Below are 27,256 nucleotides of genomic sequence, written 5' to 3'. Positions count from 1 at the left end.
CTGGGCATTATCTATGAGAAGTGGGGACATGGGTGGACATCGGGTGGGTCATGGAAGTCACTGGGGTCACACTGAAGCCCTGGAACAGTATGGCACTTCCCTGGCTGTGCCTCAGTGCCCCTCACAACAGCGCCACTTTCACAGCCAGGACTTAGATCAGAAATGTCCCTTCGCCAGTGAGGGTATCCTGCCCTGACCAGAACCTATTCCTGCTTTCCTGGCGGGTGTGGAGGGTGCTGCTCATAGACAGAGGACAGGCTCTATTATCTACCTCCCCCAGATGAGGTGGGAAGTAAAGGCAGGTCAGCCCCTTATCCCTAGAAAATAAGGAGCCCCCTGCTCAGCCCCTCCCATCAGGTTTCGGCCTCCTGGCCCAGCTTGCTGGCTGCTGGGCCGGGAGGGGCTGCCAGGCTCGGCCTCCTGCCCACTGCGGGGCGCCGGGGGAGGGCGGCGCGCGGCTCGAGATGCCGCGTTGCCATGGAGACGCTGCCGCATCCTGACTGCTCCTGGCAACGGGGTCCCGCAGCCAGGCAGGCGCTCGGCGGGGACCCCAGGGAGCGGGCGCGCCAGGCTGCCCACGGCGCCGCCAGACCCCCGGGACACGGATATGGCTCCCCCACCCACAGGCGCCCCTCACTCACACTCCCAGGGGCACACGGATGTACGTACGCGCCCCAGCTGCAGCAGCCCAGGCGGAACTGCAGCCCAAGCCCTCCCTGCAGCCCCCACTCATTAATTCAGCAAACATTTGCTTACGGTCTCAGTGCCAGGCGCGAGCTGGCCACTGCGGTTGTGGCGGCGACAAGTCACACGGGGACGCTGCACTGCCCCCCTCCCTCCCCATCTCGCAGCCCGCAGGGGAGGCAGACACAGAAACAGTGTGATCAATACTGTGACCCCAACAACAGCCACCCGCTGACTGTGTGCTCAGCCCTCCTCATGCAGGATCTTGCCTAAACTGTAAAACCCTTGGGAAGCACTGTGAGAACTCCTTTTCACAGATGGGGAAACTGAGGCACAGGAGAGCTCATCTATTCACCAGAGGCCATGTAGTCAGGGTGAGGCAGAGCTGGACTTCCCAATTGGATCTTGGTGACTTCCCCAGACTACCTTTGCTGGAGAATTTCCGAAGCACAGATGAGGGAGGACCCAACTCAGCTGGGGAGGCAGCAGAGAGAATTTCAGACTCAAGCTCGGGTCTTGGGAGAAAACGCAAGTCGACCAGGCATAGCAAGAGGCAGGAACACTAGGCTGAAAGAACAGCTGGTGCAAAGACCTGGAGAATGTAGACTGGCAGGCTGGGTGTGAGAGCAAAGGCAGAAGATGTGGTTAGGAAGCTGCTTGGAGGCCAATCCTGGAGGCTCGCTGTGCCAGGCCGAGGGGACTGGCCTCCATTCCGAGAGGAGCAGGGAAGGTGTGAGCAAGGGAGGGCATGCCTGACTATTGCTCTGGCAACCCTGGGGGTGAGGGGCTGGCCCAGGGCAGGTGAAGCTGGAGCTAGGAGACTAGAGCACAGGCCATGGTCATCATCCCAGCAAGGGACAAGTGGGCCCACTCGGCTTGAGTCCAGAGTGGAAGTAGGACACGGCCTTCTTGCCTTCCCCGGCAAAGATCCTTCTGCCTGATTGGGAACCCAGGGAATGACCCCAGAGCTAGATGCCTGACAAGGTGGGCACCCCAGGGGGAGCCAGGGCTTAAAGACAGTGAGCGCAGTGAATGAAAACATGCTTCAGAGTGACGTGAAGAACAACTGGGCTAGACTCCTGGAAGGACTTCCCAGGAGGAATGGGTGTGAGGTTCAGAGAGAGGCCAGGAGATCCTTGAGAAGAAAAGGAAGAGTCCCACACACCTCACACATCTGGAGGGAATAGACAAGATGTTTCTTCCAGACCCCTCCTGCCAGGGTTATTCCTCCCTGGGCCCGCCCAGCAGAGCCTGTTCAGGCACCCCACTGAGGAGGCACAGCATCCGGCCCCTAACCTCCCCCTCACCCAACAAGGTTAGCCTAATTTTTTTCCTTCCGTGGATTCAGGTCATTGCTCCCTGTCCTCTCTCTGAGGCGCTGCAGAATGTGACTAATTCCCTCCCTTCATTTATGGGTCCTGTTACCTGGAAGGTATTTATAGCGCAACAGCCTCCCTCTCTCCCCAGCGACTCCGCTGCTCTCCCCCCAGGCCATCTCTCCCCACTCTGCCAACCTTTGCCTCCCCTCTCTGCTGCCACAGCCCCACCACCTCCCCAGCCAGGCCTCCTGTCCTGCCATCCCCCTGGCAGGAAAGGGGGCTGGCTCTGCCGGGAGGGGTCTGCCGGGAGGGGTCTGTAGCCTTTCTGAGTGGAGTACTGTCTGCAGGGTAGATGACCCTCCTCTCTTGGACACGCTAAAAAAGGCCATCTAGGGCCAAGCTAGAAGAGGGTGACAATTGGTTGACCCCTCTGTGACCTCAACAAGCAACCTGGTACTTCAACTAACAATAGGCAACAATTATTGAGCGCTCAGCATGGGCAATACAGGGGATACCTGGGTCTATACATAACATTTCTTTACTTAGATAGGCATTGTGGTGCACACCTGTAGTCCTAGCTAGTCAAGAGGCTGAGGTGGGAGGATCGTTTGAGCCCCAGTTTGAGGCTGCAGTGAGCTATGATTGCGCCACTGCACTCCAGCCTGGGCAACAGAGCAAGACCCTGTCTTAAGAAAAAACGAATGAAGGACTGGGCGTGGTGGTTCATGCCTGTAATCCCAACACTTCGGGAGGCCAAGGCAGGTGGATCACCTGAGGTTAGGAGTTCAAGACCAGCCTGACCAACATGGTGAAACCCTGTCTTTACTAAAAATACAAAAATTAGCCAGGCATGGTGGTGCACACCTATAGTCCTAGCTACTTGGGAGGTTGAGGCAGGAGACTTGCTTGAACCCAGGAGGCGGAGGTTACAGTGAGCCGAGATTACGCCACTGCACTCCAGCCTGGCAACAGAGCAAGACTCCGTCTCAAAAAAAAGATAAATAAATAAAAATAAAAATTATTGAATGCTTACTATCTGTCAGGCATTATTATTATCCTTGATTTACAGCTATGGAAACGGAGGCTCAGAAAGGCTAAATGACCCTCCTCAGGTCCTCATGGTTGGGATGAGGTACTCCTGGACAGCTGCCTTCCAGAGCCCTGCCTGGTATTGGGAACTCACCTTAAAAGGCAGGCAGGGTGAGGGCTGCAGACAGCCAGGGGTTCCTGACCAAAACATATATCACAAAGTCAACAGTGTCCCCACTGGTCCTAAGCCATGGATGATCTCCCTGAGCAGTCAGGAAACAGCACCAGATGGAGGCCGGTGGGCTATTTAACACTGCCTGTCGCACACACATCTCCTCCTCCAAGCAAGGGTCATGGAAAGCAGAGGTTAGGGGGTGCTGATCTAAGCCAAGGAATAAGGGAAACAGGAAATAAGGGAAACTGGTGTCCACGGAGGAGGAGTGAAGGGGAACTACAGCAGAAAGGACGGAAAGAAGACCCTGTGAGGGACTTACAGGCTTATAGGGCTGAGGCAGGGACTGGCTGCTCTTTCACATCCCCACTTCACAACTGTGCGAAGCCCCTTTTACAGCCAGAAGCATGGAGACCCTGACAGGTGAACAGACTGACTCAGCTTTGCCCAGATCCTCTGGCCAGAAATTCTACAACACTGATGAAATGATTTCTGGGAGACAGGAAAGAATGGAGGAGAAGGCTGAGTTCAAATCCCAACCTTGTGCTCACAAGCATAGTGACATTGAGCAAGTGACTTCGCCTCTCTGTGACTTGATTTTCCCATCTGTAAAATGGGCTGACATCACATCTTACTCACAAGTGGTCATGAGGACTCAGTGAAGTGGATCAGGCAAAAAACTGAGCACCAGGCCTGGCACGCAGCAGGGACTCCGAGATGTTGATGGGCAATGCTGTGGTTTGTATTTGCCCCTGAGTCTTTCTTCTCTCACACATCTTCCCTGAGACTATGGCATCTTGGGGATAAGGACTGTATTTCCCTTTTATTTATTTGTGTATTTATTTTTATTATCCTAACCACTAGACCACCAGGGAAGGGCTACGTTTCCTCTATCAGCCTAACATTGACCTTGGGACCAGGAGATCCCCGGGGCAGGCTGCTGTTGGGAAAGAGCATTCATTGTTGTTATCATTATTTTCATTATCATCAGTACATCATTCTCTATTGGCTGTAGCACCATCAGCACACACCCAGCAGGCTTGTGGCTCTTGTTTGGGAGAGCCATTCCCCCTCACATTGCCACAAAGGCAGACCACAAGCCCTATGTGGGGTGCACCCTGGATCTAGCAGCTCTCATTATACCCCATTTGCCACTACCCTCCTCCATAGGGTGCCAGGAGCCTGCCTGGAAGAAGAAAGCCACTGAGTCATTCTGATTCCTGCTCAGTGAGCCAGAATCAGCAGCAGAGCCAGCCAGCGCATCCAAGGGAGGATCAGGGGCAGAGCTGGAATCCTGGGACTCTCCTGGCGGCACAACCCAGGGGCTGAGCATGGTGGCACCAGGAGCCAGGTTTGGGAGGGGAAGTGGAGACAGGAAATGCAGGGCTCCAGTGGCTGGACCCTGACAGAACAGGAAGGGGCAATGGCAGGCATCTGTGAGCACACCTGTGGGTCCCCCGTGAGCACACCTGTGGATCTGGCACCAGGTCAAGTTTCCACCACCCTGGAAGACAGAGAGCTCAATCCAATTATAGGTAAAGGCTACAGACTCAGAGAGGTTCCATCAACTACCAGAGGTCACACAGCACCTGGTAAGAAGCTTCAGGCAATGCTTGCTCAGATGCCTGCAATCCCTGATCCTCATGTCCTGAGTGCACAGCCAGGCCCAGGACTGGGGTAGGGGGAATGGAAGCAGTCAGCAACCCTGTCCATACTGGCAGATGGAGGGTGGGACCAGGCATCACAGGAGATTGAGGACCGAAGGTCAGGGAGTAGAGCAGAAGTGAGGCATTCTGGACAGTGGGCTACAACCTGGGCCTGAACAGCGAAGGCCTTTGTCCTCAGCCTGGCTCACCCCAAACTTGCCATGTGACCTTGGGCAAGGCCTGGCCTTTCTCTGAGCCTCAGTTTCCTCAGTTACCCTATCAAAACTCTGAGCTCCAACACTCTCCCTATCAGTTCTGAGTCAGGCCTCCCCAGGCATGCCAGCAGGGCTGACAGGCTTGAGGGGCCAGAGAGGGGTCTGTGCCCAGGCGGCCATCCTCTCCCCACCCATGGGCACACAGGGTCTTCGTGGAAGAAACACAGTGTATACAAATAATTAAACGGAAGAATTGGAGTGATTAGGGCAGATGATTATTGTCAAATTATGATTTATCTTGTAGTGGAATTAGTATTCCCCCAAAGGGCCCGGCGTGGCGCGGCGCCCGCCACGGCCCGTGATTAATCGCCGTCTCCAGAAGGTCACCTCCAGCCACTGCAGATTAACTCAGTGGGGAAACTTCTTTCCGTAATTCAAGCTGTTGTTCCCACAACCTGTCATCCGCCGCAGAAAAGGACGATTTCGTCAGGGAGCCCAGGGCGGGGGACAGCCAGCTCCCAGGCCCCTCCCGGCTGCAGACATGATATACGGTGCGTCCCGACACGGGTGACCGCGATCGGGGGCAGCATCCGCCCATGGGGTGGGCAGCAGGAGGCAGGAGCAGGGAGAATGTGGGGGAAACGAGGCGCCGCCAAGCAGAAGTAGGCTGTGAGTGGAGAGAGAGCGCGCGCGGGCGGTGGCAATTAGGAAGAAAATTGGATTTTTCAGCGTCCAGAGGCAGCTGGGATCTGCGGTGTGCGGTGCAGCCTTTCCAACACACACAGGCACCCAGCTCCAGACAGGCAGGAACTCCCCAGGAGAGACGGAGAATGGGGGAGGCCATGGGCCTCCTTCAGGAAGATAGGAAATGTAGAACCAGACCAGGGCAGAGATTTCAGCCCCCAGCTCTGTGGCCTGCACCACCCCTAGATCTCCCCTTCAGTACTACCTGGAGCATGGAATGTGAGCTGGAGGAGAATCCATTAAGAAGGCCCCTGCCAATCCAGCAAGAAGAACATGGTGAGGACTGAGGCTGGGCCCAGCAGAACCTCCCAGCGGCAAGAAGGGGACCCTGGGCGAAGGCAGCTTTCCTGACCGTGGAGCCAGAACCAAGATCCCATTTCCCCAATGGGAGACACTGCCCAAGTCACATGCCCAGGTCAACTGGAGCTGCTAATCATGGCCACCTCTGTCTAGCAGCCCAGGCCAGGTCTTGGAGGAAGCATGGAATCCCTGGCCTGTCTCCCTGTGCGTGGAGAACAGTGGATACAAAGCCCCCAAACCCTGCCTCCTCACTCTGGCCTCACTCCCCAACCTCTAGTTCCCGGACGCAGGGAGCAGGGTAGTAAAAGGCATAAGTGCGTCCCCTTCCAGTCTCTCATTTACCTTCCAGTCAGCCCTGCAGGGAGGATGGTTTGTGCCCACACTGCACAGGGGAGGAGGCTGAAGCAAGGTGACTTCCTGCCCTGAAGCTGCCCTGGCTCTCCAGCACCCTCAGGATTACTTTCAAGATCCTTCGAGGCCCTGCCCTTTCTGCCCGCACGGTCCGCAGCACTTTACAGCCTAACCCCCTGCCCTTCTCCCCACCTCCAGAAACACTCACTGTGCACTATTCTTTCAGGCCTCTGGGCTTCAAACATTCCTGAAATGTACTTCCTGTCCCCAGCCCTCAACAAGCAAACTTCTATTTATCCTGCTGTATCCAGCTCACTTGTCTCTCCAGAAAGAAAGGGTGCTCCCAGGCCCACTAGAAACCCCACCCTTGTGAGCACAGATCACCACCCCATGCAGAAAGCACGCTCCACCGGCCTCTCCCACCAGACAAGGCACCCCTACATCTATCTGTGGCCTCCTACACCTGTCTCCCCAGTGCAGGGCAGACTAACCCAACCCAAGTTGGTACTAAGAAACCATTTGGTTTTTTTGTTTCGTTTCGTTTTGTTTTTGAAATAGGGTCCTCACTCACTTGCCCTGGCTCAAGTGCAGTGGCACAATCCTAGCTCACTGCAACCTCTACCTCCTGGGCTTAATCTATCCTCCCACCTTGGCCTCCCAAAGCGCTGGGACTACAGGCATGAGTCACCGTGCCCAGCCTCAAGAAACCATTTGTAAGACACCAGGGGCTGCTGAGGGACCTGTACTCCTCCATTCTCCTCAGTCCACAACCCCAACTTGACAGGCCCCAGAACTAGGGTATGCTGGGGAGAGGACAGAGGTGAAAGTCCTTGCCGGCTGGTGTCCTCAAGGTCTGGAGGCCTGCTTTTAGTTAAGAACAGAAGCATATATTATGTATACGTTGGTTTGCTCAGAACATTCTAGGGTTGGAGATATTTAGAGTTGTGAAGACCCAGCACTATTTGGAAGAAAAAATCTCTTTCTCTCCCTCTCAAGGGTGGGGACGGGGGAACAACTCTTTCCCAAATCATTGGGACTAACACCAGCATTTTCTTTGGGGGAAGAAGGGGGTTTTCCATTCCCTTCAGGGACTGCCTGGCAGACACTACCCCCCTTGAGTCTTTGGTTGATGGTGATAAAAACACCCATCCACACTACATCTGATGCTCAAAACACCCTTTGCTACGTTCACTTACTGACTCTTAAGGGAAAAGCTGAAGAAGCTTGTGAACCCCCTTTCACAGATGCAGGCGAAGGACAGGGTTGGGGTGGTGGTGGCAGGTGATTTGCCCAAGGGCTGTAAGCAGTGGAGATGGCTGTGAGTGTGAGGAGGATGATTCTCATCCCACTGCCCACCCAGCCCACTCTGTGACTCCACTGGCTTCTCACACAGGCAGCTCCAAACCCTTTGCCCCCATCCCAGAGCCCAGGAGGGGTGGGAGAACAGCAGATGGCTTGGCTAGGGGACCTCCCAGGAGAGAATCCGCTTCATGCAATCTATGGGCCTGATTCCAATCCCAGCCATGCCCCTCACTACCCTGGACCTTGAGCAGGTCACTTTCCCTCTCTGTGCCTCTGTTTCCTCATCTGTAAAAACATGAGTTCCAACCTTGTAGAGCTGTTGTGTGGATGAATGGAGACTCGGGCCTGACCTGCAATTAGGAAGTGCTCAAGAAATTTGAGTTGTGCTTGTTTTGGGTTGTTTTATCACCTTCATCACCTCACTATCCCTTGTGGAAGAGTGCGGGAAGCTAATAGCTTCCCTATTTCCCAGCGGAGGAAACTGAGTCAGGGCATAGCCTCTAGCAGACAGAGGACATCGCCAGATAAAGGATCCTGAAGGCCAACTTTGATTTTGCCCGCCCCCTCTCAAGCCCCTCCATTGCTCCTAACCCTTGTAAGACAACACAGTCGCCCAGCCAGAAGAATCCCACCAGCTGGGTTCTTCCCTATTCCTAGGGCGCTCTGCTGAGTCCTGCCTCCTCGCCTGTGCCCAAGCTGGTCCCTCCGCCTAGAATCTCCACCTAAAGTCCGCTCCCTCCACGAAACTACCCCCAAGGGACCCTGGTGCCTGGCTGAACCGCGCAGCCCAGCCACTGACCACCTGGTCACCCCAAGCAACCTTCTGAACCCTGCACGGGTTGGGCAAGGACTTCCCAGTCTGACCCTAGATGCTTGAGCGGGAACCCTGGTGGGTGCCCCGACCCCGGGGGAGCGCAGCCTGCTCCCCAACCCCACTCCCTCCAGCGCCGCGGCCCCGGCTTTGATCCGGCTGCCTCTGCGCCCCAACCTGATTGGCATCGAATTACGCCGCGCGGCGGAGGCAGATAATGGCGGGAGGCGCGGCAGACATGAAAGGGGGGGCGCAGCGGCAGTCCGAGCCGTTGTTAATGACCCAATAAAAAGGAAGAGGGGGGAGAAATAACCCTCCCTTCCCTCCCCGCCCCCAGACCGCGGCCGGTGCACACAAAGCCGCCGCCGACTCGGAAATTACCGAGGCTCAGCCCAGAGCAGCGTGACTGGGGGTGGGGGCTGCGCTCACCTGGCGGGGCGCGGGAGGGCGGACGGCAGCCGCGGGGACACTAGCGGAGGCACAGACAGAGCCACACGGATAGGCACATACACTGAACCTGTCTTTAATAGTCTATTTTCATCATTTTTTGCATTGTGCTTTTTTTAAGTATACGAAAATATTTTTCCTAATTACTGAGATTTGTTGGAGCCCCCTTAAATTTTGTGCCGACGCTAGTCCAGGTCCTGAAACAGTCACACAGACAGCACCATTTAGTCACGCACACGGTGTGTCGCATACACACAGAACAGTTACAGTCTCACACACAGTCACACACAGAGACACAGTCACAGCATCACACACTGTGGCACCTAGAGTCACTTCGGAAACAGGCACGGAGCCTCATGCGCGCGCACACACACACACACACACACACACACACACAGCAGGGCCGCAGAGATGCTCACACGGAAACACACCCAGAAGCAGGACAGACACAGACATATCAAAGATACACACACACAGAGACAAATAGGGAGGAGGCTCCCAGGGACATACACACATCACACAAGCTGTGCAGAGAGGGACACAGAATGACGCAGGCAGAGCTACAAACACAAACATGCAACAATATAGAGACCAGCACCCCATAACATGTCCCAAAGATACCCACGCACACAAACACCCAGGCATGCTGGGACACGCACACATCAAAGCACAAATCCCCTCCCCACTAGCGTCTCTGGAACACACCCTATATACCCTCTCAGCCACCCATTTCACACCCACACTCACACATGTTCAAGTGTATTCGAGCGAGAGCCCAAGACTGGGTTGACCCACAGCAGAGATGAGGTGGCGTCGCTGGAACACAGACCCCAGAGGATCCATCTACCTACCCAGGACCTGACAGTGGGAAGGGGCGTGGGTGGCGCTGCCTCAAATCCATGAGGCTGGGGCAGATGGCTTAAACTGTCAGAATTTCAGTTTTGTTCGTCTATAAAATGGGGTTCAACTCCTCCCCTACGGGACTGTCTGCGACTCAATAAGCAAGCACTAAATGTTGGCTGCCATTATCATGTGGATTCCCTTGGGGGCAGCCCGGACCCTCTCCACTGCACACACACACAAAAACACATACACACCTTGGCTCCCAATCAAACTCTACTGCTAAGGAGGTCCCTCTGTTTTTGTTTTTGTTTTTGTTTTTTTTTGAGACAGGGTCACTCAAGCTGGAATGCAGTGATGCAATCACAGCTCACTGCAGCTTCAACTTCCCAGGTTCAAGTGATCCTCCCACCTCAGCCTCCCAAGTAGCTGGGATTACAGGTGGGTGCCACCATACTGGCTAATTTTTTTTAACTTATTTTATTTTTTTTAATTTGAGGCAGGGTGTCACTCTATCACCCATGCTGGAGTGCAGTGGTGTGATCTCAGCTCACTGCAGCCTCCACCTCCTGGGATCAAGCAATCCTCCCACCTCAGCCTCCTAAGTAGCTAGGACCACAGACACGCACCACCACGCCCCAGCTATTTTTTTTGTATTTTTAGTAGAGACAAGGTCTCACCATGTTGCCCAGGCTGGAGCTCGAACTCCTGAGCTCAAGCGATCTGTCCAGCCTCCCAAAGTGCTGAGATTACAGGTGTGAGCCACCACACCCAGCTAATTTTTTAATTTTAGAGGTAGGGTTTCACCATGTTGCCCAGGCTGGTCTTGAACTCCTGGGCTCAAGTGATCCTACCATCTAAGCCTCCCAAGTAGCTGGGAGTACAGACATGCAACACCACACCCAGCTAAATTTTTAAAATTTTTTGTAGAGATGGGGTTTCCCCATGTTGCCCAGGCTGGCCTCCCAAAGTATTGGGATTATAGGCATGAGCCATCATGCCCAACCCCTCTTAAATCTAATCTGAATTCCTCATTCTGTAATCTAAACCCAACTCTGGTCCGGCGCAGTGGCTCATGCCTGTAATCCCAGCACTTTGGGAGGCCAAGACGGGTGGATCACCTGAGGTCAGGAGTTCGAGACTAGACTGGCCAACATGGTGAAACCCCATCTCTACTAAAAATACAAAATTAGCACGGTGTGGTGGCGCATGCCTGTCATCCCAGCTATTTGGGAGGCTGAGGCAGGAGAATCGCTTGAACCTGGGAGGCGGAGTTTGCGGTGAGCCAAGATTGCACCATTGCACTCCAGCCTGGGCAACAAGAGCGAAACTCCATCTCAAAAACAAAACAAAACAAACAAACAAAAAAAAAAACAACTCTGGGAACAGGGAGGTATAGCCTTTCCAAGGAGCCTTTCCTGCTCCAAAAAGCAGCTCCACATGCAGCAGGCGTCCTGAGAGCAGGATGGGACTCCTGTGGGATCAGTCTCTAGGGCTTGGCCTCTCTGGGCCTTGGTTGCCTTCACTGTCAAATGGGTTAACAGCATCAGCATCCAACACAAGATGCTTCTGGGAGGATGAAATAGCTCTTAGGCTGAGTTCATGGGCCATGGCTAGAGCTGATGGTCCATGTTAGGGTCAAAAGTGAGGGGTCAGGATGCATACACCCCTCCCACTAGGACAAAAGTCCTCACTGTCATTCCTTCTTAGGTGGATAAGGGGACTTTATGAGCCAAACCTCAGAGCCTAATTAATGCAGTTAATCACAGGCCCAGCCACACTGGCCATGGGGACAGCTGGGAGGGAGGGTCACAGCTCAGTTACCCAAAAGCATGGAGGGGCATGAAACAAGGTTATTGGTGGCCTTCTCCTCCCCCATGGCCCTGAATGGAGGCTTTCCTATACCCTGCTAATCAGCACCCATCCTGCAGCCCCAGCTCACTGGGCAAGTCCCTTCTCGTGTCCAAATCCCGTTTCTCGCGCTGCAGCTCAGGAAGCACGTGGGATCTGCAGTCAGGGTCCTGGCTGTCTCTAATCAGGCAGGTTAGTTAGATTGGTCTCCCAATGGCTGGGCTGAGTAACACTGAGTTTGCTGATGGTGGTGGGATGGGTGGGTTGAGTCATAACTTCTTGGAATCCAGTGTCTAGCCCAGGAGAAAGGCAAGAATGAAGACAGGAGCTGGTGGCAAGGAAGAAAATGCCCCTTTCTCCCTCAAAGGGGCCTGTGCATGTGATGCTTTATGGGGGGTAGGGGGCGGAGGGGTTGGTCAAAGACTGGCCAGGGTTGTAGCAGGAGGGGCAGCCCACGCGGGCAGGGGCGCTGCCGTGTTATAAATCACCCTCGACTCAATTAGAGCCTGTGAAAGGTTGTGCACACCCAGCAGAAAGCTCCGCGCTTGGCGGGCAGCCAGCTCTCTGAGGGGGGCTGGGGGCGAGAGCTTGTGTGTGCCTACGTGTGTGTATGTGTGTGCCTGTGTCTTACTGTGCAGATGTGCTTGTGTGCCCTTGTGTGTGTTTCTGTGCCTGTGTGTACCTGTCTGTGCCTGACCTATGTGTGCCTGTGGTGGGGGGAGAGTATACATGCCTGTGGACTCTTGCATATGCAATATGCTCCAATGTCCTTGTGTGTTTGTCACCAGGTGCATCTGTATGCACCTGTTCATGCCTATTTGTGCTGTGTGTGCACTTGTGTGTGTGTTGGATGGGTGGCTGTCCTCGTGCCCATGTGCACTTGAGTGTGAGTGTGTGCGTGATTGTGTCTCTCCATCGCTTTGCCTCTGTATGTCTCCTTGCCTGTGTGCACCCAGGTGACAGTGCATGCTGGTGATGAGTTGAGCTGGGCTGGATGTGTGGGTGGGAGTGGAAGGGTGTTCTTATGGTAGGGGGAGAGTTATATGTTTTTAGGGAGAGGCAGAAACAGAAAAAGAGACATGGATGGATGGAATTATGGGCCGGCAGAGAGAGAGTGAGAGCCAGAGGAACCTAGTAGAGAGAGACGTGACCAGTAGGAGAACTAAGCTTTGAGGAGTGTGAGGGGCTTGGCAGTGTCGAGGATCTGCCAAGGACAACCACCTCCACCACTGAGTCAAGAGGCTGGACTGGCTGGGTGCAGTGGCTCACACCTGTAATCCCAGCACTTTTGGAGGCTAAGGTGAGAAGATTACCTGAGGTCGGGAGTTCCAGACCTGCCTGGACAACATAGGAAGACCCAGTCTCTACAAAAAAATTTAACATTAGCCGGGCATGGTGACACATGCCTATAGTCCCAGCTACTTGGGAAGCTGAGGTGGGAGGATTGCTGAGTCTAGAAGGTTGAGGCTGCAGTGAGCAGAGATCATGCTACAGCACTCCAGCCTGGGTGACAGAACGAGACCCTGTCTCAAAAAAAAAAAAAAAAAAAAAGGCTGGACCCTAGCCATGCCATGGAAACACTGTCCTAGAGTGGCCAAAGAGCAACCTTGGAGGTCATCTCTCCTTCCCTGATGATGGGCGGTGATGAGCATCGACATCTCAATTATCTCACAGAACGCTCACAGGCACACTGTGAAACACGCACTATTACAATTTCCACTTTGTAGATACCAAAACTGAGGCTCATTGACTTGCTCTCAACAAGTAAAGTAGAGCCAGGGTCTGAACCTGGGTTTGTCTAATTGCAAAGGTCTTGCCACATTCATTACTGTTTCCCCAGGGTTCCCAGTTGGTCACACTTGAAGGGGGTGGGAGGAGAGTCTGTGTGAGTATGTGTAGGTGGGTGGGTATGCCTCCCCATCTGCCTGGGCACTCTCTGAACCCCAGGCTGCTGTGCCCCTAGGGCCAGCACACAGTAGATGCCAAAGAAATATCTAAGTAGGGAACCAAGAGTAGCTGGCAGAAGGGAGCTTGGGGTGGGGAGAGGAGTTTGTGAACCATCCCAAGGATACTGGCCACCTCCGCCCCCCTCTCAGGCAGGAGGTGCTGTCTTGAGTCCCAGAAGACTGTGGAGTAGGAGCTGAGATTTTCCCAGAGCTAGGCTGGGCTCTGCCTCATCTTCATTCATACCCAGAGCTGAACCACCTGGATGTATCTCTAGACCAGCATCATGTCTCACCTGTCCCTCCTCTACCCAAGCCACAGTGATATCCAGACCCTGCCATGCCCCCAGGAACATTTGGGGCCCTGAATAAGGATCCCCATGGGAGAGGCCTGCACAGGAACCATTAGTCAGGAGCCAATTTGGAGCCCTGGGCTTAGTTTCCCCCATCTATAATGGCATTTCTTTGAGGAGTAGTAGGAGGGATCTAAATCGCTCAGTCCTGGGCCTCCTTGCTCAGCCTGGAGAACCCCACCCTGGAAGTTGCCCCAGGCCTCAGATCCAGCAAGGCTGGATAGAGTGAGGAATGCAAACCCAGAATGGGCTTCAGCCTCCCTCTTGCCCCAGACACCCAGGCCCCACAAGGGTTCCTCTTCCCCAGGCTCTTGACAGACTCTTTCCCTGAACCATCATCCCATCAGTGGCCTTGTTCTGCTCTCATTTACTGACCAGGTGCCAGGGGTGGGAGGGGCTTGGGCCTCCCCTAGGGCAACCTCCAGGAGGAAACCTAGCTTTGTGCTGAACCTTCACCCTGCCTTTTCTGCAGGCCCCACATCTGGAACCATTTCAGGCAGAAGCATAAGGCTGAGCTGCCCCTCCTTTGATGATGTGGCTATGGGGAAGGGTCATGCCCTTTGGAAGGTTGGGGGTTACAATGCATGGAGGGCAGCCCTCCTGAGGCTAGGAAAAGGGAGGAGAGGGAGCAACAGGAATGGGCAGGGCTGGTGGAGGCTGGGCAGTTTGGAGTTGAGATATTCATATTTTGGGTTTTTTTTTGTTTTGTTTTTTTGTTTTTGAGATGGAGTCTTGCTCTGTCGCCCAGGCTGGAGTGCAGTGGCATGATCTCAGCTCACTGCAAGCTCAGCCTCCTGGGTTCACCCCATTCTCCTGCCTCAGCCTCTGAGTAGCTGGGACTACAGGCGCCTGCCACTACACCTGGCTAATTTTTTTGTATTTTTAGTAGAGACGGGGTTTCACCGTGTTAGCCAGGATGGTCTCTATTTCCTGACCTCGTGATCCACCCACCTCGGCCTCCCAAAGTGCTGGGATTACAGGCATGAGCCACCACACCCAGCCTGGTTTTTTTTTTTTTTTAAGACGGTCTCGATCTGTTGCCCAGGCTTGAGTATAGTGGCACAATCACGGCTCACTGCCTCAACCTCCTGGGTTCAAACCATCCTTCTTCTTCAGCCTCCCAAGTTGCTGGAACTATATGCTCACACCACCATACCAGCTAATTTTTGGTGTTTTTCATTTGTTTGTTTGTTTTTGTTTGTTTGTTTGTTTTGTAGAGATGGTGTTCTGTCATGTTGCCCAAGCTGGTCTCAAACTCCTAGGCTCAAGCAATCTGCCCACCTCGGCCTCCCAAAGTGTTAGGATTACAGGCATGAGCCACTGTGCCCAGCCAGTTGAGGTAATTGTGTCTTGGTGCCCAGCACTGGAAGAGAAGCAACTCCTCCAATATGTGGGATCAGGGGACAACTGCAGAAAGGATACCGTAGATGACCAGCATCTTCATCCCTGAGGAAAGGAATCCAAGCTTCACTCTTGGTACGCCTCAGTTTCCCCATTATTTAAATGGAGACATTACTTTCCACACAGGATTCTGGGGAGGATCCATGGTGAGATGATGTTTTGGCACAGGGCCAGCACATCCTAGCTGCTCAGAATGGGGCAGTGGCTGCTGCTGTTGCTACTATTACTGCTTTGTTTAAAACATAGCTGCTTCCACCAAAGCTGCCATCCAGCTGAGAAGATCAGGACAACACACCCAAATCAGTCAGAGAAAATGCAATCAGACACTGGAACTCTGGGAGAGAAGGATCCTGGAGGGCTGGGCAGTCAGGAAGAAGTTCTCAGAGGAAGTAACCTGGGGCTGAACTTCAGAGATGGGAGAGTGAAGCCAGCCAGAGTGGTGGGTAGAGGGCATGCTAGGGGGGAACCGACTGAGCAAAGCCCTGGAACAGGAGGGTGCCCTACAGGTCAGGTGGGCCTGAGTGTGTAAGAAGCAGAGAAGCCAGCTGGGGTCGGTTGGGTGCTCCAGGGGGCCTGACTTACCCTGGGGAGACGAAGGGGGAGACTGGATGCTAACTGCCACCTTTAAGGAAGGACTGTCTGCCCTGAGGCCCATCCCACCTGCACTCCATCCCAACAGAAGTCCCGAGGATCCGCAGGGGGCCACTGACACCCACCCCTATGTATTCACCCCCCCCAACATACCCCAGGGCTCCTAGAAATCAGGTGACTGCTCCCTTCTCTCTTTATTTATTCTCTGTTTTTTCCCTTTTCAGGAGACGATAATTATTCAGATCATCGCGGTGATTTACTCGGCAATCAGAGCCGCTCGATGCGGTGGCCGCGGAGCCGAGACAGACGAGCATTGCCTAGGAGGACGGGCCGGGGGCTCAGCGCCCCTCCCTCCCACCTGCCCGGCCTTTGTTCTCTTCGAGGTCTGCACCCGCGCTGCCTGGCGGGCAGTGGAGGCGCCCACCCGCGCGGACATGGCAGCAAGCTCGGGGTCTTGGGAATGAGTGTGCACATGAGTTCGCCCGGGGGAGGGGAGTTTGGGGGCTCGTGTGTTGCTGGGTGCTGGCTTGAAAATGATGGAGTACCTGTGTGCATGTTTGGGGGTGGTAGTGGTGGTGGTTGGGAGTGTACTAATGCACGAGCATTGCGGTCAGGTGTGTAATTGGAATGTGTGCACCTGTGTGATTACCGGGGGCCTAGGGTACATCTGTCTCCACAGGCTTGTTCAGAAGTGCAATGGGCAGGTGCCCAAATATGTGTATTTTAGGCACATAGCGGGGAGGAGAAGAGAGTTGGGGCTCTTGTGCTGAAGCTGTCTGAGGTGATCATGGAATCATGGATGTGGCAGGGCTGGGTTCTAGCTCAGCCTCTCGAACCGTGTCTGGCTGGGTAGGTGGGGTGGGGGCGGGGGAGTGTGAATCAGCTCAGATCCAAATGCCGAGTTTTCCTGGGTCAGTGCTGGGGCCCCGGGGGTCACGTGAATACAGATGTGGCTCGGTTCACAGGCTGTGTTCACACGTGTCCGCAGACCTTCGCCCCCTCCCGCCCGCGGGCTGGCGCAGTGACGGTGACCTCATTACCGCCTCCGCAAAGGCCCCTTGAAATCCCTGCGCCGTCGCATTTGGCTGCTCAAAGTGATGGGAACGGCCTGAGCTTCCTGATCAATCGCTTAAAATTCAGGGTCGGCTCGCTCGCGGGAGAGGGCTGCCTGCCAGCCCCGCGCACCGCGCTCTGCCGCCTCCCCCTACACCCCCTCCTTGCTTTGGCGGGGCGATGCTGTCGTATTGGAAAACATCCCCGCGCTGGCTGGGGGGCCCGGTGGGGCCAGCGCTGGAAGCCGTTCCACTCGAGCAGATGGCTGTGAAACTTTGGCGGCGAGATAAATTGGGTCTGACGGCGTGAGGCCGGCTCACAGATGGGCGGGATTCTCACGCCGGCCCCCACGTCCGGCCGGGCTGCGGGCAGGGCCGACACCGCTCAGAGCCCCCTTTGGGCACCCGCCTCGCCAGCACAAGCCTTCAGGAGGCCACCCATCCGGCAACAGCCTTCCTCAGCCGAAGGCGCCCTCCACCACATTCCTTCCGGCCCCAGATCTCCCCAGAGACGAGCCCAGAGGGAGGGACAGCCCCCAGCCCCCGCCCGGTCACCTCCGCCAAGCTGGCAGCTGGGCTTTCCCCCTCCTCTGCCATCCGCAGAGGCCTGAAGCGTGAAGGTTAACAGCTGGGGGGGAGGCTGCGTCTCCCTCTCTCACCCCCGCTCTGCTGCAGCCCCGCCCACCTGCCAGCCCAGGGGATGTCGTAAACAGGGCTGTGAGGTGTGTGTGTGTGCGGGGGGTTGGGGGTAACTGAAGGGGGGGAGACAAGAGAGAGTCAGACAGACAAAGAGAGGAACGAAAATGAGCAAGAGGCGAGCGGAGACCTGAGCAGAGACTGAGGGACAGAGACAGCTAGAGACAGAGACAGGCAGAGAAAGAAATGGAGATGGAGATGTGGAGATAGACACGGAGACACCCAGAGAGAGAAGGGAGGGAGGAGGAACCTCAGAGCCAGAGAGGAGACACACAATGAAAGTGGGAGGAGGGCGAAGGACCGGGCGAGGGGACAGGATACTGGCAGAAATGCAGGCTGCCTCGAGCTGCGGACGACCGTGGAGGGTGGGGACGAGCCGAGGTTGGGAGCAGGGTGCGACCCTGGGCTACCCTCACTCCTGCACCCACCACCAGGGCTGGGAGCCAGAGCGAGGGAGCGTCGCTGCCCCTGGGTGCGCCCTCCATCGCTACGCCACTTGCCCGCCTCGGCTTCCCCGGGAGCGCTAGATGAAGGGAATGGCGGGGTTGGGGAGCCGTGGGGGTCAGGGGGTGCTGCGCGGCCATCACACTGCCGCAAAGCCAGCCTGTCTAGCAGCCTCCCTCGCGCATCAGTCCAGCGGGCAGATATCGATCCCGCCCAGCCAAGCTCTATACTCGCGGCCTGCAGCCCGTTCTGTGGCGGTCCTACAAAGAAGCGGGGGTGCCTCACTTCTCGGGCCTCCCCCGCGGGGGATTCTGTACCAGAATAACACCCCCGGGGCCAGGGTCAGGGCGGCACACTCGCCCCCGCCTGTCCCAGCGCGATCCCATTCGGCGGGCCCAGGTAGCCTGCGGCAGGGAGAAGGCTCGGGTGACCCCCCAGCCCCGCCTTCTGCAGGGCGCGCGAGGCCAGAGGAAAAAATCTTCGCTGAGTTGATGAAGTTGAAGTTTCGTTCAGGGCGTGAAGGAGACAGCCAATCAGCGGGCCGTTATTTACATGGGCTCTCTGATTGGCTCTCACGGTGCCTCTTTAGAATGTTACTTTGAGACCTTCACAGAACGAAAAGCCCCCCGCTGGGGGTGGGGGAAGGCTCAGAAGCTCCAAGGTTTCATGTAGGGCTCCCCAGGCCAAGCTTTGAGGGAAGATGGGGAGCTTAGATATAGTTTTGTCCAGCTTTCACGATACAAATGACCAACTTGAGTCTGGAGAGACAGAGAGGTGGAGCTTGGCCTGGATCCAGGAGATGAGTTCGGCCTAGCGCTCTGCAGTGGGCCCACCACCCCTGATACCTAGACGTGTGGTCACCTTGGCGGTGGGGAGGAGGGGCTTGGTCCTGGCAACCCCTCTCATCCAATAGCAAGAGAGGGGCTGATTCAATGGTTTGAGGGGGCAGGAGCAGGTAAACCTGGCGGTGTCGGTCTTGTTTGTGACCGGACAGTGTGGGTGGTACCATCATGTTGGAAACCCCGCAAATAATGCAGCCCCAGAGGCAGGCCAGGCTGACCCTGAGGTCATGTTTCACTTGACAGCCTGGGCAGGCACACGTGAACACAGGAGACCCCCAGGCGGGGGCCTCGGGGCCTCAAGAAGTGGGTTTGCTCTGAAGGGAGTGGCACTGGGCAACCCGCAGCAGCTCCGCACTGCCCCGCACCCGCACTACCGCATCCAGCAGACACTGAGTCACTCTTGGGGACGGGGGCGAAGTCAGGACATTGGCAGCTAGGAGCAGAGAAGTTCTCTCAGAAGGCCTCCACCCTGCCTTCCCCACTGCGTCGGCCCCGCCCACCCATGCTGGGAAAAGGGCCCCCTGGGGTTGCCATTCGCAAATCCTGCCCAGTCTCCTGGCCCACACTCCTCCCCAGGCGACTCAGCATAGATGACTCAGGACTTGGAGTGGGGCTGTTAATGGGCAAATGTGGTGGTAGGGGGGCCTGAGTGTGTGGCCGAGGCTGGAAAGTCCCTCCACCATCTGCCTGTGGCAAATTGAGGGACAGGTAGGAGAATTCACTCTAGTGGGGTTCTAACCCTGCCCCAATTCTTTCACAGTGACACAGCCTGGAGACCCAGCTCTGTCACTCAACTCTACATAGCCTTCACCCAGAGCCTGACAGTGTATATGAACAAGAGGCTGTGCCTGTGAGTACTTGCGTGCCAGCAGCTGGCCTTGTGACATGCCCCTGTGGGACCTTGGGCTGCAGCATCAAGTGCTAGGGCAAACACCTTGTTTGCAGAAGACCCAAGGACCCCACAGCCAGTGCCAGGACAGCTAAGAGACTCCACCACCTGCCACCCCCCAGAACTTACCCTGCTAATGAACCAAACTTGCTGTGTGACTTTGAGTGCAGCTCGCACATCTCTGGGCCTCAAACTTCTCTGTAAAACCATGCCCTCCTGAATGTACCATTCCCAGTGGTGGCAGCTGCAGAGAAATCACAATAGCAGGGGCAGGGTCCAAGAAGGGCCTGAGAAGCTGGTTCAGCCTGTGGTCTGGGAGCCAAGTGGGGCAGGGACAAGATTGCCAAGTCCCACGGTTCTCACCAATTCTCATAATCTCATCTCTCCTCTTGTCTTCCTGCCCGCCTCATAAATAGCAGGAGGCTGGGCTGGGTCTGGGGCAGGAGCGGGGAGCTGCATGTGTGCATTTGTGTGTGTGTGTGTACACACACATGGGGAGGGTGTGAGAGCCTTCCCCCCACCCCCGCCGCTGCCACCATCGTGCTCTGAGAAGCTGAGATAATCCCTCGCCATCTGTCTTGTGTTGCTAACCCACTCAGCCGGACAGCTGCCCGGGCCACAGCTCTACAGGCGAGCAGGCGGGGGAATGAGGGGCATGGGGGGAGCTAGCCAACTCTGAGGACCAGGCAGCAGGGACACTCAGTCCTCCCATCCCAGAATACCCCTGCTCTAGAAAGGGAAAGTAAAGTCAGAGAGGGGACAGGCAGGACTTCCCCCATTCCTGCTTCTGAACCTGGGAAGGATTGGAGGAGTGGAGACCATTCCCTGGTCTGGGAGTTGGAGGCCGAGCCTCCCAGAATGCAGGAAGGTGATACAGGATCACCGTCTAGCTTATGTTGTTATGAGCCCACACAGATCACTGTGATGGGAGGGGTGCAGTAGGACAAGTCAGGCCTTCTGGGCGCAGGGAAGGGAAGAAGGGGTCGTCTCATACTTCCCCAGCCTCCAGACAGGCCAGTGTCCCAGGCCTCCAATGGTCAACTTCCCAGAGCCAGGAGGAGAAGGCAGGCTTCTAGGATTTGGGGTGGATAATGCTTAGTGTACAGGCCCATTGTTCTGATGAGGAAACTGAGGCTCAGAGAGTGAAGTGACTTGCCCCAGCTCACCCCATGAGTGGAGGAGCTGGAACTTGGACCAGACATCAGGCTCCAGCAGCCCTAGCTCTGCAGCCTGTTCTTTCTGCCTGCTCCCCATCATCAAGCCCCTCACCCTGCCTCACCTTCCCAACTTGTGGCTATCCCATCCTGGGGCTCTGATGTTCTGTCAGCTGAAGCCCAGCAACCAGACTCTCAGCAGTATGGTCCCAATGCAGTCCAGGGGATTTCAGCCATGACAAGCAGAGCCTGAGGAAGGATGAAACTGTGCACTCAGTGTGGGCTCCCACCCTCCGCCCCTTCCCTGTCAATCATCTTTCACCTCTCCCACACAATTAGCATGCTTCCACACACATGCACTCTCAAATACAGATCGTACACACTCATGTGATCACACAGACAGGTCCTCACTCACAAAAAGACATAAACAGTCACACCTACAGGGATTGAAACATACAATCTTACAGATACAAAGGCAAACTCAGACAGCCTCTCACCTCCTCACACCAACACGCAGACCCCAGCACTCACACCAAACACACATTCCACCCCCACAACCTCCACACACTGCAGGCTCCCAGTTCCTAAATCTCACCAGCTTCCAACCTCCCAGGTTCTCCATCTTACCCCACACGAAGCAGTAACCCTCCAGGGTCAGTGCGTTGGTAGGAGTGGGTACCAGAGAGACGTCTGCTCTGTCCTTCCTGCCTATGGGTGAGGGCCCTCCAGCAAGGTGCTGGTGAGCCTCCATACCCTCCCCATCCCCCAAGACTTTGGAGAGCTTCCACCTGGCCACAGATCCAAGAGAACAGTCCTCACCTCTTGCCCACAGGGGCTCGCAGCTCTCCTAGGCCCAGGAGGAGGAAAGGGACCAAGGGGAGGCAACTGCTTCTCTTCTGAGGGTCTCAGCTTGCCGGGAAATGACACATACCGAAATAATCTGACAGTGTTCTGAGCCCCCACAGGGCCACAGACTCCAAGTCCTCTTCATGATCCAACCACTACATACCTTTTTTCCTAAACTGCTGCTTCTCTGCTTTTTCCCCACTCCAACCAGCCCTTAAGGGACTGTAGAAGCAAAGGTGAGCTGACCCCCTCCCACTCCAGGCTGGAATTTGGCTCTCAGATCACTGTATTCTCTTGAGCCAGAGGGAGCTCCTCCCTGAGCCCGGCTCCCCCGCAGCTAAGGAGAGCCCAGGCTCCAGATACACTCACACACTCATTCACACACAATGTGGCACACTCACACCTGCACTCATGTAGATGCTCACCTGCACACATCCTCATGCACGTTCACAGCCACACTCACACACGCACTCACACTGTCACCCCCTCCTGCTCTCACATGCTCACTGTCACTCTCATGCTCAGTCACACCTCGCCCTATCACACTCATGGCCCTACCTGAGCAGGCTGAAGCTCGGGGGCCCTGAGGTCCATAGATCACTGGCAGAGGCCTAGAGTCTGGTGTTGACAGCCTGGTTGCACAGGGAGAGGGGAAGGGCTGCCACTGAGGCCTGGAGGGTCTTGAATAATTCAGGGTGGTGGTGGCGGTGGTGACCGCAGCCTGTCAGCTGCAGGGAAAGGCTGGTGGCTAGATTGTTCCGGGAAGCTCGCTCCTGGTGGTTTGAGGAGAGTCAGCCCAGTTTGAGGGCTCACTGAACACACAAAGCACTTTTCCCACACGCTTTCAAGGCACGTTGTCACATGGGCCTGCACAGCAGGCATCACGGCCCCGTTTTACAGGTGAAGAAACTGAGGCTTTCATGAGGGAGAACTCACAGCTATCAAGCAGGGGCCTCCAGGCTCCCACCCACACTCCTCTCCCCCATACCCACATATACCCTGGAGAGAGCTTCCTCTGATCATCGTGCCCAGATGACAATGAGAGATGCCAGCCATCTGAGGACACTCTGGAATGTGATGCCAGGGCCTGAATCCAGGAAGCACCTGGCTTAGGGCCTGCACATAGTAGGTGCTCAGTTGCTGCCTGCCAAATGAGGGCATTGTGCAGAGGCAGCACGGAGTAGCCTGGGGCCATACCTCTGCCTCTTACCCAAGTTGCTAAACCTCTCTGAGCCTCAGTTTCCTTATCTATAAGATGGGCACTAAGTGTACTGGCCTTATGGGATGTTGGTGAGGACTAACCGGGAAAACACACCTAAGCCAGTTAGCTTGGGTCTGGTCTGTAAGAAGGGCTCCACATTGCACCTAAATTGTGATGCGAATACCCTTGCCACAAAGAGAGAGAGCCACAAAGTGGTGGTCTGCACACACACGTACTCTCTGCCTAGGGCATACTCCTTACTGTCCTTTGCTGTTGTCTGCTTTTCAAGGGTGAGTGCTTCTGCCACTTTCTCCAGGATGACAGCTGTGGACTCCTGCCACATCCAACACCCCCTTGCTGCTCCCCACCGCCCTCCTTGGCACCCAGGTGGCTGATCTCCTATGGTCTTGCTGGCTTCTCTACCTTGTATGCTGAGGGCGGGCCCAGCCTGCCCCAGCTCAGGGTCTGCACATAGTAGGTGCTTGCATGTTGCCTGCTAAACTGACAGCCCTGTAACCATGTCAGCACAAAGCAACCAGCATTTTGGGTGCATCTGCAGTTAAAATAAACCACTGAGGTCATGGGTCTGTTCTCTCTGCAAAAACAAAAATACCCCACTAGCCATATCTGATGAGAACCATAGCAAAAGATCAGAATGTAATGGCTTCATCCAGAAGCAAAGCATGAGGTTCCAAACCATGTCCCTGACCTGAAGGGGCACCTGCCCAGGCCCAGGGGTGCCAACTCCTAGAGGCAGCTGGCATGTGACTACTGTGCCCAGTAGAGAAAGGCAGACACTCAGTCCCCAGAGCCCAGAGCCCCGAGGGAATTATGGAACATCCTCCATATTTGATTCAAAATAAAAACCACAGTAAACCATAGACCCAAAACTTATACGTCGGCTGAAATTAAAATAGCTTCTTGCTACGTTTTCTGGTTTCAATATTCTGGATAAACTCATGGAAGCTGAATCAGGCAATTTGTCTGTCTCTTGCTTTGTTTCTGCTGTTGCCCCTGCTTTGCAGGGATCTCAGCACACGCTTGGTCTCCCCTCTGAAGCAGACCCCAGCCGGGTCTGGGGGGTGTCCAGTCCTGCACTCCCAGGGCTGATCCCCCCAGGAAGGTATCCATGCCTATGCACACACCACCCCCATGGGTTCTTGTGGCCCCTCAGGAAGGGGGCAGGACCAGGGCCCAGCCTTGGCCAAGAGCTGCCCCCAGCAGACCTCTCTCTGCCACTGCTCCCCACAAGGTTTCCAGCACCCCCAGCCCCTCCCTCTTCTGGGGAACCTTGCGGCTGGGCCCGTGCCTGCGGCGAGTCTCACCCCAGTATTATTTTAGTCGCAGACAGACACGAGGCAGATGGTGACAACATCCCTTCCCCGCTCCCCACTGACGAGCCGTTGCCGCCCTGAAGCCTCAGGGTTCTTCTCCCTCAGGAATATTTCAGTCCCGACTCGGTGGCTAAATGCGGCTGCTCGTGTGAGACAAGCGCACATCTGCGCCTCCTCCTCCCTACCCCCTACCCATTTCCTGAGGCTGAGCAGAGCCCTGGGGAGGCCCTGCCCACTTGCAGCTCTGCCCCATCCTCCCAGCTGCCCTACTGTGTGCCAGGCATCATGCCATGAGCATGGTACCACTGGGAGAGGGCAGTTACTGTGCCCACTTTACAGATGAGGAAGCTAAGGCTCAGAGTGAAGCAGGGGCCATCCCAGATCACACAGCAGGAGAGAAGGCGTTCCCTTGGGTCCCAGTGCACCCTGGAGACAGACACAGCCTCCCTCTGCTCCTTCCCCACCCCTCAATCCTCCACCTTACCACCCCTGTGCCTACTCCAGGCAACTTGCCTTTCTAGGAGCTATTTCATTGTGCCCACTCTCCTGCATCAACCTGTAGCCCAGGGCACGGGGCTAGCCAGCTAGCTGGTCCTAGCTCAGTGGGCATTCGGCTATAATTGTGACTACCGAAGTCAGGATGGACAAATGCAGGAGGAGGAGACCTCTTGCATGAGACAGGCCTGGTTTCAAATCCCAGCTTTGTTATGACTTTGGGCAAATCACTTCACCTCCCAGGACCTGTTTCTTCATCTGTAAATGCACAGCAGCAGTATAACCTCTCCTTACCCCTAATTCAATGAGTGACTGCTATATTCCCAGCACCTAAAGCAGGGCCTGGAACACAGTGGGTGCTCAATGTGTATTTGCTAAATGAATGACACAGGTAATAAGATGAGCATCAGCCCTGGCTCCATGGAGCTAGTCCTCCCAGCAGCCCCACCCTCAAAAAGGCCTGGGGCCAGCTCTGCCTTGGTGGCCCACTAGGAGCTGAAGTTGGTCACAAGAGCCAAACAGAGTCTTGTCTCTAGGCCCCTCCCCAAGCCCCACAATGCAAAGTGCTTGGGGCCTTAGGGGGCGGGCCATGGGCACGGGGACCCCATAATAGGCCTGGGTGCCAGCCAAGTGTGGGAGTTGGGCTGAGGTTGTTTTGGTTCCCTCATGCCCCCTTCTCCAGCCACCCACCCTGACTGGCCAGGGGTGGTGAAGCTGGACAAGGGCTCTTTGAGGGCTTGGGACACTTTCTGGGCAGGTGAGGACATGTCTATTCCCAGTCAGGCCTCCTGGCTGTGGGCTCCCTACCCCAGCACAGTCCGACACCCCACCCCCCACCACACCTCAGCTGGCCTTCTGGGGCTGGGCCAAGATACACACTGACAAACCAGCACACAAAAACACCACCCACCACAGTGACACTCACACCCTGTAAAGATATACAAAGCATATACACACAAACATACACCACCCAACTGAAGGCACAGAAACAAACAGACGCAATTTAGTGTGCACGGCAAGGTACACAAGCTCACAATGTCTGTGATGCAGAGCGCACCATGTGCACCCAGCGCAGGGTGTATCCATATAGTCACACAGCATGGCTGCTAACACGTGTGTGGCACAACCCAGCCCAGGTACATAGCTCAGGAGCACAGATGTGCACAGCAGGAGGTATGAGGCCAGTCTTGCACCGAAGCTGAGGTCTGTCTCCCCATACCAGACCAGCAGCTCAGGGACAGGTTGGGGTAGGGACACAGGGCCATCGGAAGAGGAAGAGGGCAGGCCGGGCCCAGGGTGGGGGTGTGTCGGGGTCAGCTCTGCAACCCCCACTTTTACAGGACTTGGCCGAGGCATCAGTGCCTGCAACAAGCAGGTTTTTTTGTGGTAAAAAGGTCAGGACCCTCACCTCTAATCACATTGACATGTCACTACCAATCTCTCCCCTCAGCAGCCACCTCTGCCCAGGTCACCCTCACACTCACGCATGGCATAAGAAACTGGATGAGGCTACTCACTGTCACCATAAAAGCCAATACAAAGGGAAAGAGAGGCTGAGTGTCAGTCAGTGCAGGTGCGGAGACACTTTTCAGCAGGGAGTTCTGGGCAGCAGACCACCCTCTGCCAATCATGGTCAGTCAGGAAGGGTAAGTTCATCTCAGTGGCCACACATCAACCCAGCCCTGAGAACACAGCCCTGAGGCCAGCCGGCTTGGGAAGGCCTCCTGGTGAAGGACAAAGGCCCTCCTCTCTGGCGCTCCCTGTTCCTGGCACATCTCATCCATTGCTTCCCATCTCTGGTCACTGCTCTGCGGTGCCCACTGCCCTGGCACTGGCATTCAAGGGCCCTAGTTATCTGACCCCATTCAGAGCTTTTTTCTCCAGGCCTTCACCAATGCTGTTTCCTCCACCAATGGTGCATTCCCAGCCTCCACTTTTGGTGGCCTCTCCATCCATCAAAATCAATGCCACCCCTCCCCCCACAAGAAACCTCCCCAGTCACTGCCAGGAAAAAAATTCTCACTTCAGTCCTGGAATGAGAGATGAGGACCCATGTGGGGCTCTGCTGGACCCCAGTGTCCTAATCAGCAAAATATGAAAGACACGGCCCATCACCACTGAGAGCAGAAGAGACAGAACAACAAGTGCAGTGATCCCAAAGTAGGGTTCACAGACCCCTGGGAGTCTCCCAGACCTTTTCAGGGGTAGATGAGGTCAAAATTATTTTACTAATAATACTAAGACATTATTTGACTTCTTTATTATGTCTAAGCCATACTAGGTAAAACTGTTGCTGGCTTAGCA

At 55.5% G+C, this 27,256-nt stretch overlaps 1 protein-coding gene and 1 long non-coding RNA gene across 5 annotated transcripts in view, besides 15 other annotated features; one reads left to right on the top strand and one right to left on the bottom strand.

The window, feature by feature from the left end:
* Positions 1-22,578, bottom strand: part of PSD2 (pleckstrin and Sec7 domain containing 2) — a 101,992-nt gene extending 79,414 nt beyond the window's left edge. The window contains exons 1-2 of one of the 3 annotated variants that reach the window (XM_017009976.2): positions 21,202-22,578; positions 20,052-20,166 (exon numbers count right to left, since the gene is read on the bottom strand). The gene's annotated coding sequence lies outside the window, so the exon portion shown is untranslated. Of the gene's footprint in view, positions 1-20,051 lie in introns of all 3 variants that reach the window. The other 2 variants (XM_017009977.2, XM_047417829.1) reach the window with 2 other exon arrangements.
* Positions 756-1,419: an enhancer, noted in NCBI's record as "H3K27ac-H3K4me1 hESC enhancer chr5:139143219-139143882 (GRCh37/hg19 assembly coordinates)". NCBI's record gives its function as "activates a minimal SCP1, AML or CMV promoter by ChIP-STARR-seq in naive H9 embryonic stem cells {active_cell/tissue: H9 hESC(naive)}" and the evidence as "EXISTENCE:reporter gene assay evidence [ECO:0000049][PMID:30033119]".
* Positions 1,420-2,082: an enhancer, noted in NCBI's record as "H3K4me1 hESC enhancer chr5:139142556-139143218 (GRCh37/hg19 assembly coordinates)". NCBI's record gives its function as "activates a minimal SCP1, AML or CMV promoter by ChIP-STARR-seq in naive H9 embryonic stem cells {active_cell/tissue: H9 hESC(naive)}" and the evidence as "EXISTENCE:reporter gene assay evidence [ECO:0000049][PMID:30033119]".
* Positions 2,083-2,746: an enhancer, noted in NCBI's record as "H3K4me1 hESC enhancer chr5:139141892-139142555 (GRCh37/hg19 assembly coordinates)". NCBI's record gives its function as "activates a minimal SCP1, AML or CMV promoter by ChIP-STARR-seq in primed H9 embryonic stem cells {active_cell/tissue: H9 hESC(primed)}" and the evidence as "EXISTENCE:reporter gene assay evidence [ECO:0000049][PMID:30033119]".
* Positions 5,049-5,946: an enhancer, noted in NCBI's record as "H3K4me1 hESC enhancer chr5:139138692-139139589 (GRCh37/hg19 assembly coordinates)". NCBI's record gives its function as "activates a minimal SCP1, AML or CMV promoter by ChIP-STARR-seq in primed H9 embryonic stem cells {active_cell/tissue: H9 hESC(primed)}" and the evidence as "EXISTENCE:reporter gene assay evidence [ECO:0000049][PMID:30033119]".
* Positions 5,947-6,845: an enhancer, noted in NCBI's record as "H3K4me1 hESC enhancer chr5:139137793-139138691 (GRCh37/hg19 assembly coordinates)". NCBI's record gives its function as "activates a minimal SCP1, AML or CMV promoter by ChIP-STARR-seq in naive H9 embryonic stem cells {active_cell/tissue: H9 hESC(naive)}" and the evidence as "EXISTENCE:reporter gene assay evidence [ECO:0000049][PMID:30033119]".
* Positions 8,936-9,015: a silencer, noted in NCBI's record as "silent region_16430". NCBI's record gives its function as "represses an Ori minimal core promoter by ATAC-STARR-seq in GM12878 lymphoblastoid cells {active_cell/tissue: GM12878}" and the evidence as "EXISTENCE:reporter gene assay evidence [ECO:0000049][PMID:35858748]".
* Positions 12,641-12,792: a silencer, noted in NCBI's record as "fragment chr5:139131846-139131997 (GRCh37/hg19 assembly coordinates)". NCBI's record gives its function as "represses an EF-1alpha promoter that drives an FKBP-Casp9 reporter gene in an ReSE screen in HepG2 liver carcinoma cells {active_cell/tissue: HepG2}" and the evidence as "EXISTENCE:reporter gene assay evidence [ECO:0000049][PMID:32094911]".
* Positions 15,720-16,367: an enhancer, noted in NCBI's record as "H3K27ac-H3K4me1 hESC enhancer chr5:139128271-139128918 (GRCh37/hg19 assembly coordinates)". NCBI's record gives its function as "activates a minimal SCP1, AML or CMV promoter by ChIP-STARR-seq in naive H9 embryonic stem cells {active_cell/tissue: H9 hESC(naive)}" and the evidence as "EXISTENCE:reporter gene assay evidence [ECO:0000049][PMID:30033119]".
* Positions 16,765-16,814: a silencer, noted in NCBI's record as "silent region_16429". NCBI's record gives its function as "represses an Ori minimal core promoter by ATAC-STARR-seq in GM12878 lymphoblastoid cells {active_cell/tissue: GM12878}" and the evidence as "EXISTENCE:reporter gene assay evidence [ECO:0000049][PMID:35858748]".
* Positions 17,065-17,174: an enhancer, noted in NCBI's record as "active region_23253". NCBI's record gives its function as "activates an Ori minimal core promoter by ATAC-STARR-seq in GM12878 lymphoblastoid cells {active_cell/tissue: GM12878}" and the evidence as "EXISTENCE:reporter gene assay evidence [ECO:0000049][PMID:35858748]".
* Positions 18,313-18,960: an enhancer, noted in NCBI's record as "H3K4me1 hESC enhancer chr5:139125678-139126325 (GRCh37/hg19 assembly coordinates)". NCBI's record gives its function as "activates a minimal SCP1, AML or CMV promoter by ChIP-STARR-seq in naive H9 embryonic stem cells {active_cell/tissue: H9 hESC(naive)}" and the evidence as "EXISTENCE:reporter gene assay evidence [ECO:0000049][PMID:30033119]".
* PSD2-AS1 (PSD2 antisense RNA 1) lies at positions 18,830-23,706 on the top strand. 2 transcript variants are annotated; one of them, NR_105053.2, is made up of 3 exons: positions 18,830-18,859; positions 19,794-19,883; positions 23,413-23,706. It is a non-coding gene; the product is annotated as a PSD2 antisense RNA 1 (long non-coding RNA). The 2 variants fall into 2 exon arrangements; NR_105052.2 differs by having other exon boundaries at positions 18,830-19,146.
* Positions 20,484-21,077: a silencer, noted in NCBI's record as "fragment chr5:139123561-139124154 (GRCh37/hg19 assembly coordinates)". NCBI's record gives its function as "represses an EF-1alpha promoter that drives an FKBP-Casp9 reporter gene in an ReSE screen in HepG2 liver carcinoma cells {active_cell/tissue: HepG2}" and the evidence as "EXISTENCE:reporter gene assay evidence [ECO:0000049][PMID:32094911]".
* Positions 21,996-22,544: an enhancer, noted in NCBI's record as "H3K4me1 hESC enhancer chr5:139122094-139122642 (GRCh37/hg19 assembly coordinates)". NCBI's record gives its function as "activates a minimal SCP1, AML or CMV promoter by ChIP-STARR-seq in primed H9 embryonic stem cells {active_cell/tissue: H9 hESC(primed)}" and the evidence as "EXISTENCE:reporter gene assay evidence [ECO:0000049][PMID:30033119]".
* Positions 22,545-23,094: an enhancer, noted in NCBI's record as "H3K4me1 hESC enhancer chr5:139121544-139122093 (GRCh37/hg19 assembly coordinates)". NCBI's record gives its function as "activates a minimal SCP1, AML or CMV promoter by ChIP-STARR-seq in primed H9 embryonic stem cells {active_cell/tissue: H9 hESC(primed)}" and the evidence as "EXISTENCE:reporter gene assay evidence [ECO:0000049][PMID:30033119]".
* Positions 25,976-26,903: an enhancer, noted in NCBI's record as "H3K4me1 hESC enhancer chr5:139117735-139118662 (GRCh37/hg19 assembly coordinates)". NCBI's record gives its function as "activates a minimal SCP1, AML or CMV promoter by ChIP-STARR-seq in primed H9 embryonic stem cells {active_cell/tissue: H9 hESC(primed)}" and the evidence as "EXISTENCE:reporter gene assay evidence [ECO:0000049][PMID:30033119]".

Source organism: Homo sapiens, chromosome 5, assembly GCF_000001405.40.
Source record: "Homo sapiens chromosome 5, GRCh38.p14 Primary Assembly".
Classification (NCBI taxonomy): domain Eukaryota; kingdom Metazoa; phylum Chordata; class Mammalia; order Primates; family Hominidae; genus Homo; species Homo sapiens.
This window is presented reverse-complemented; position numbering and strand designations above follow the sequence as displayed.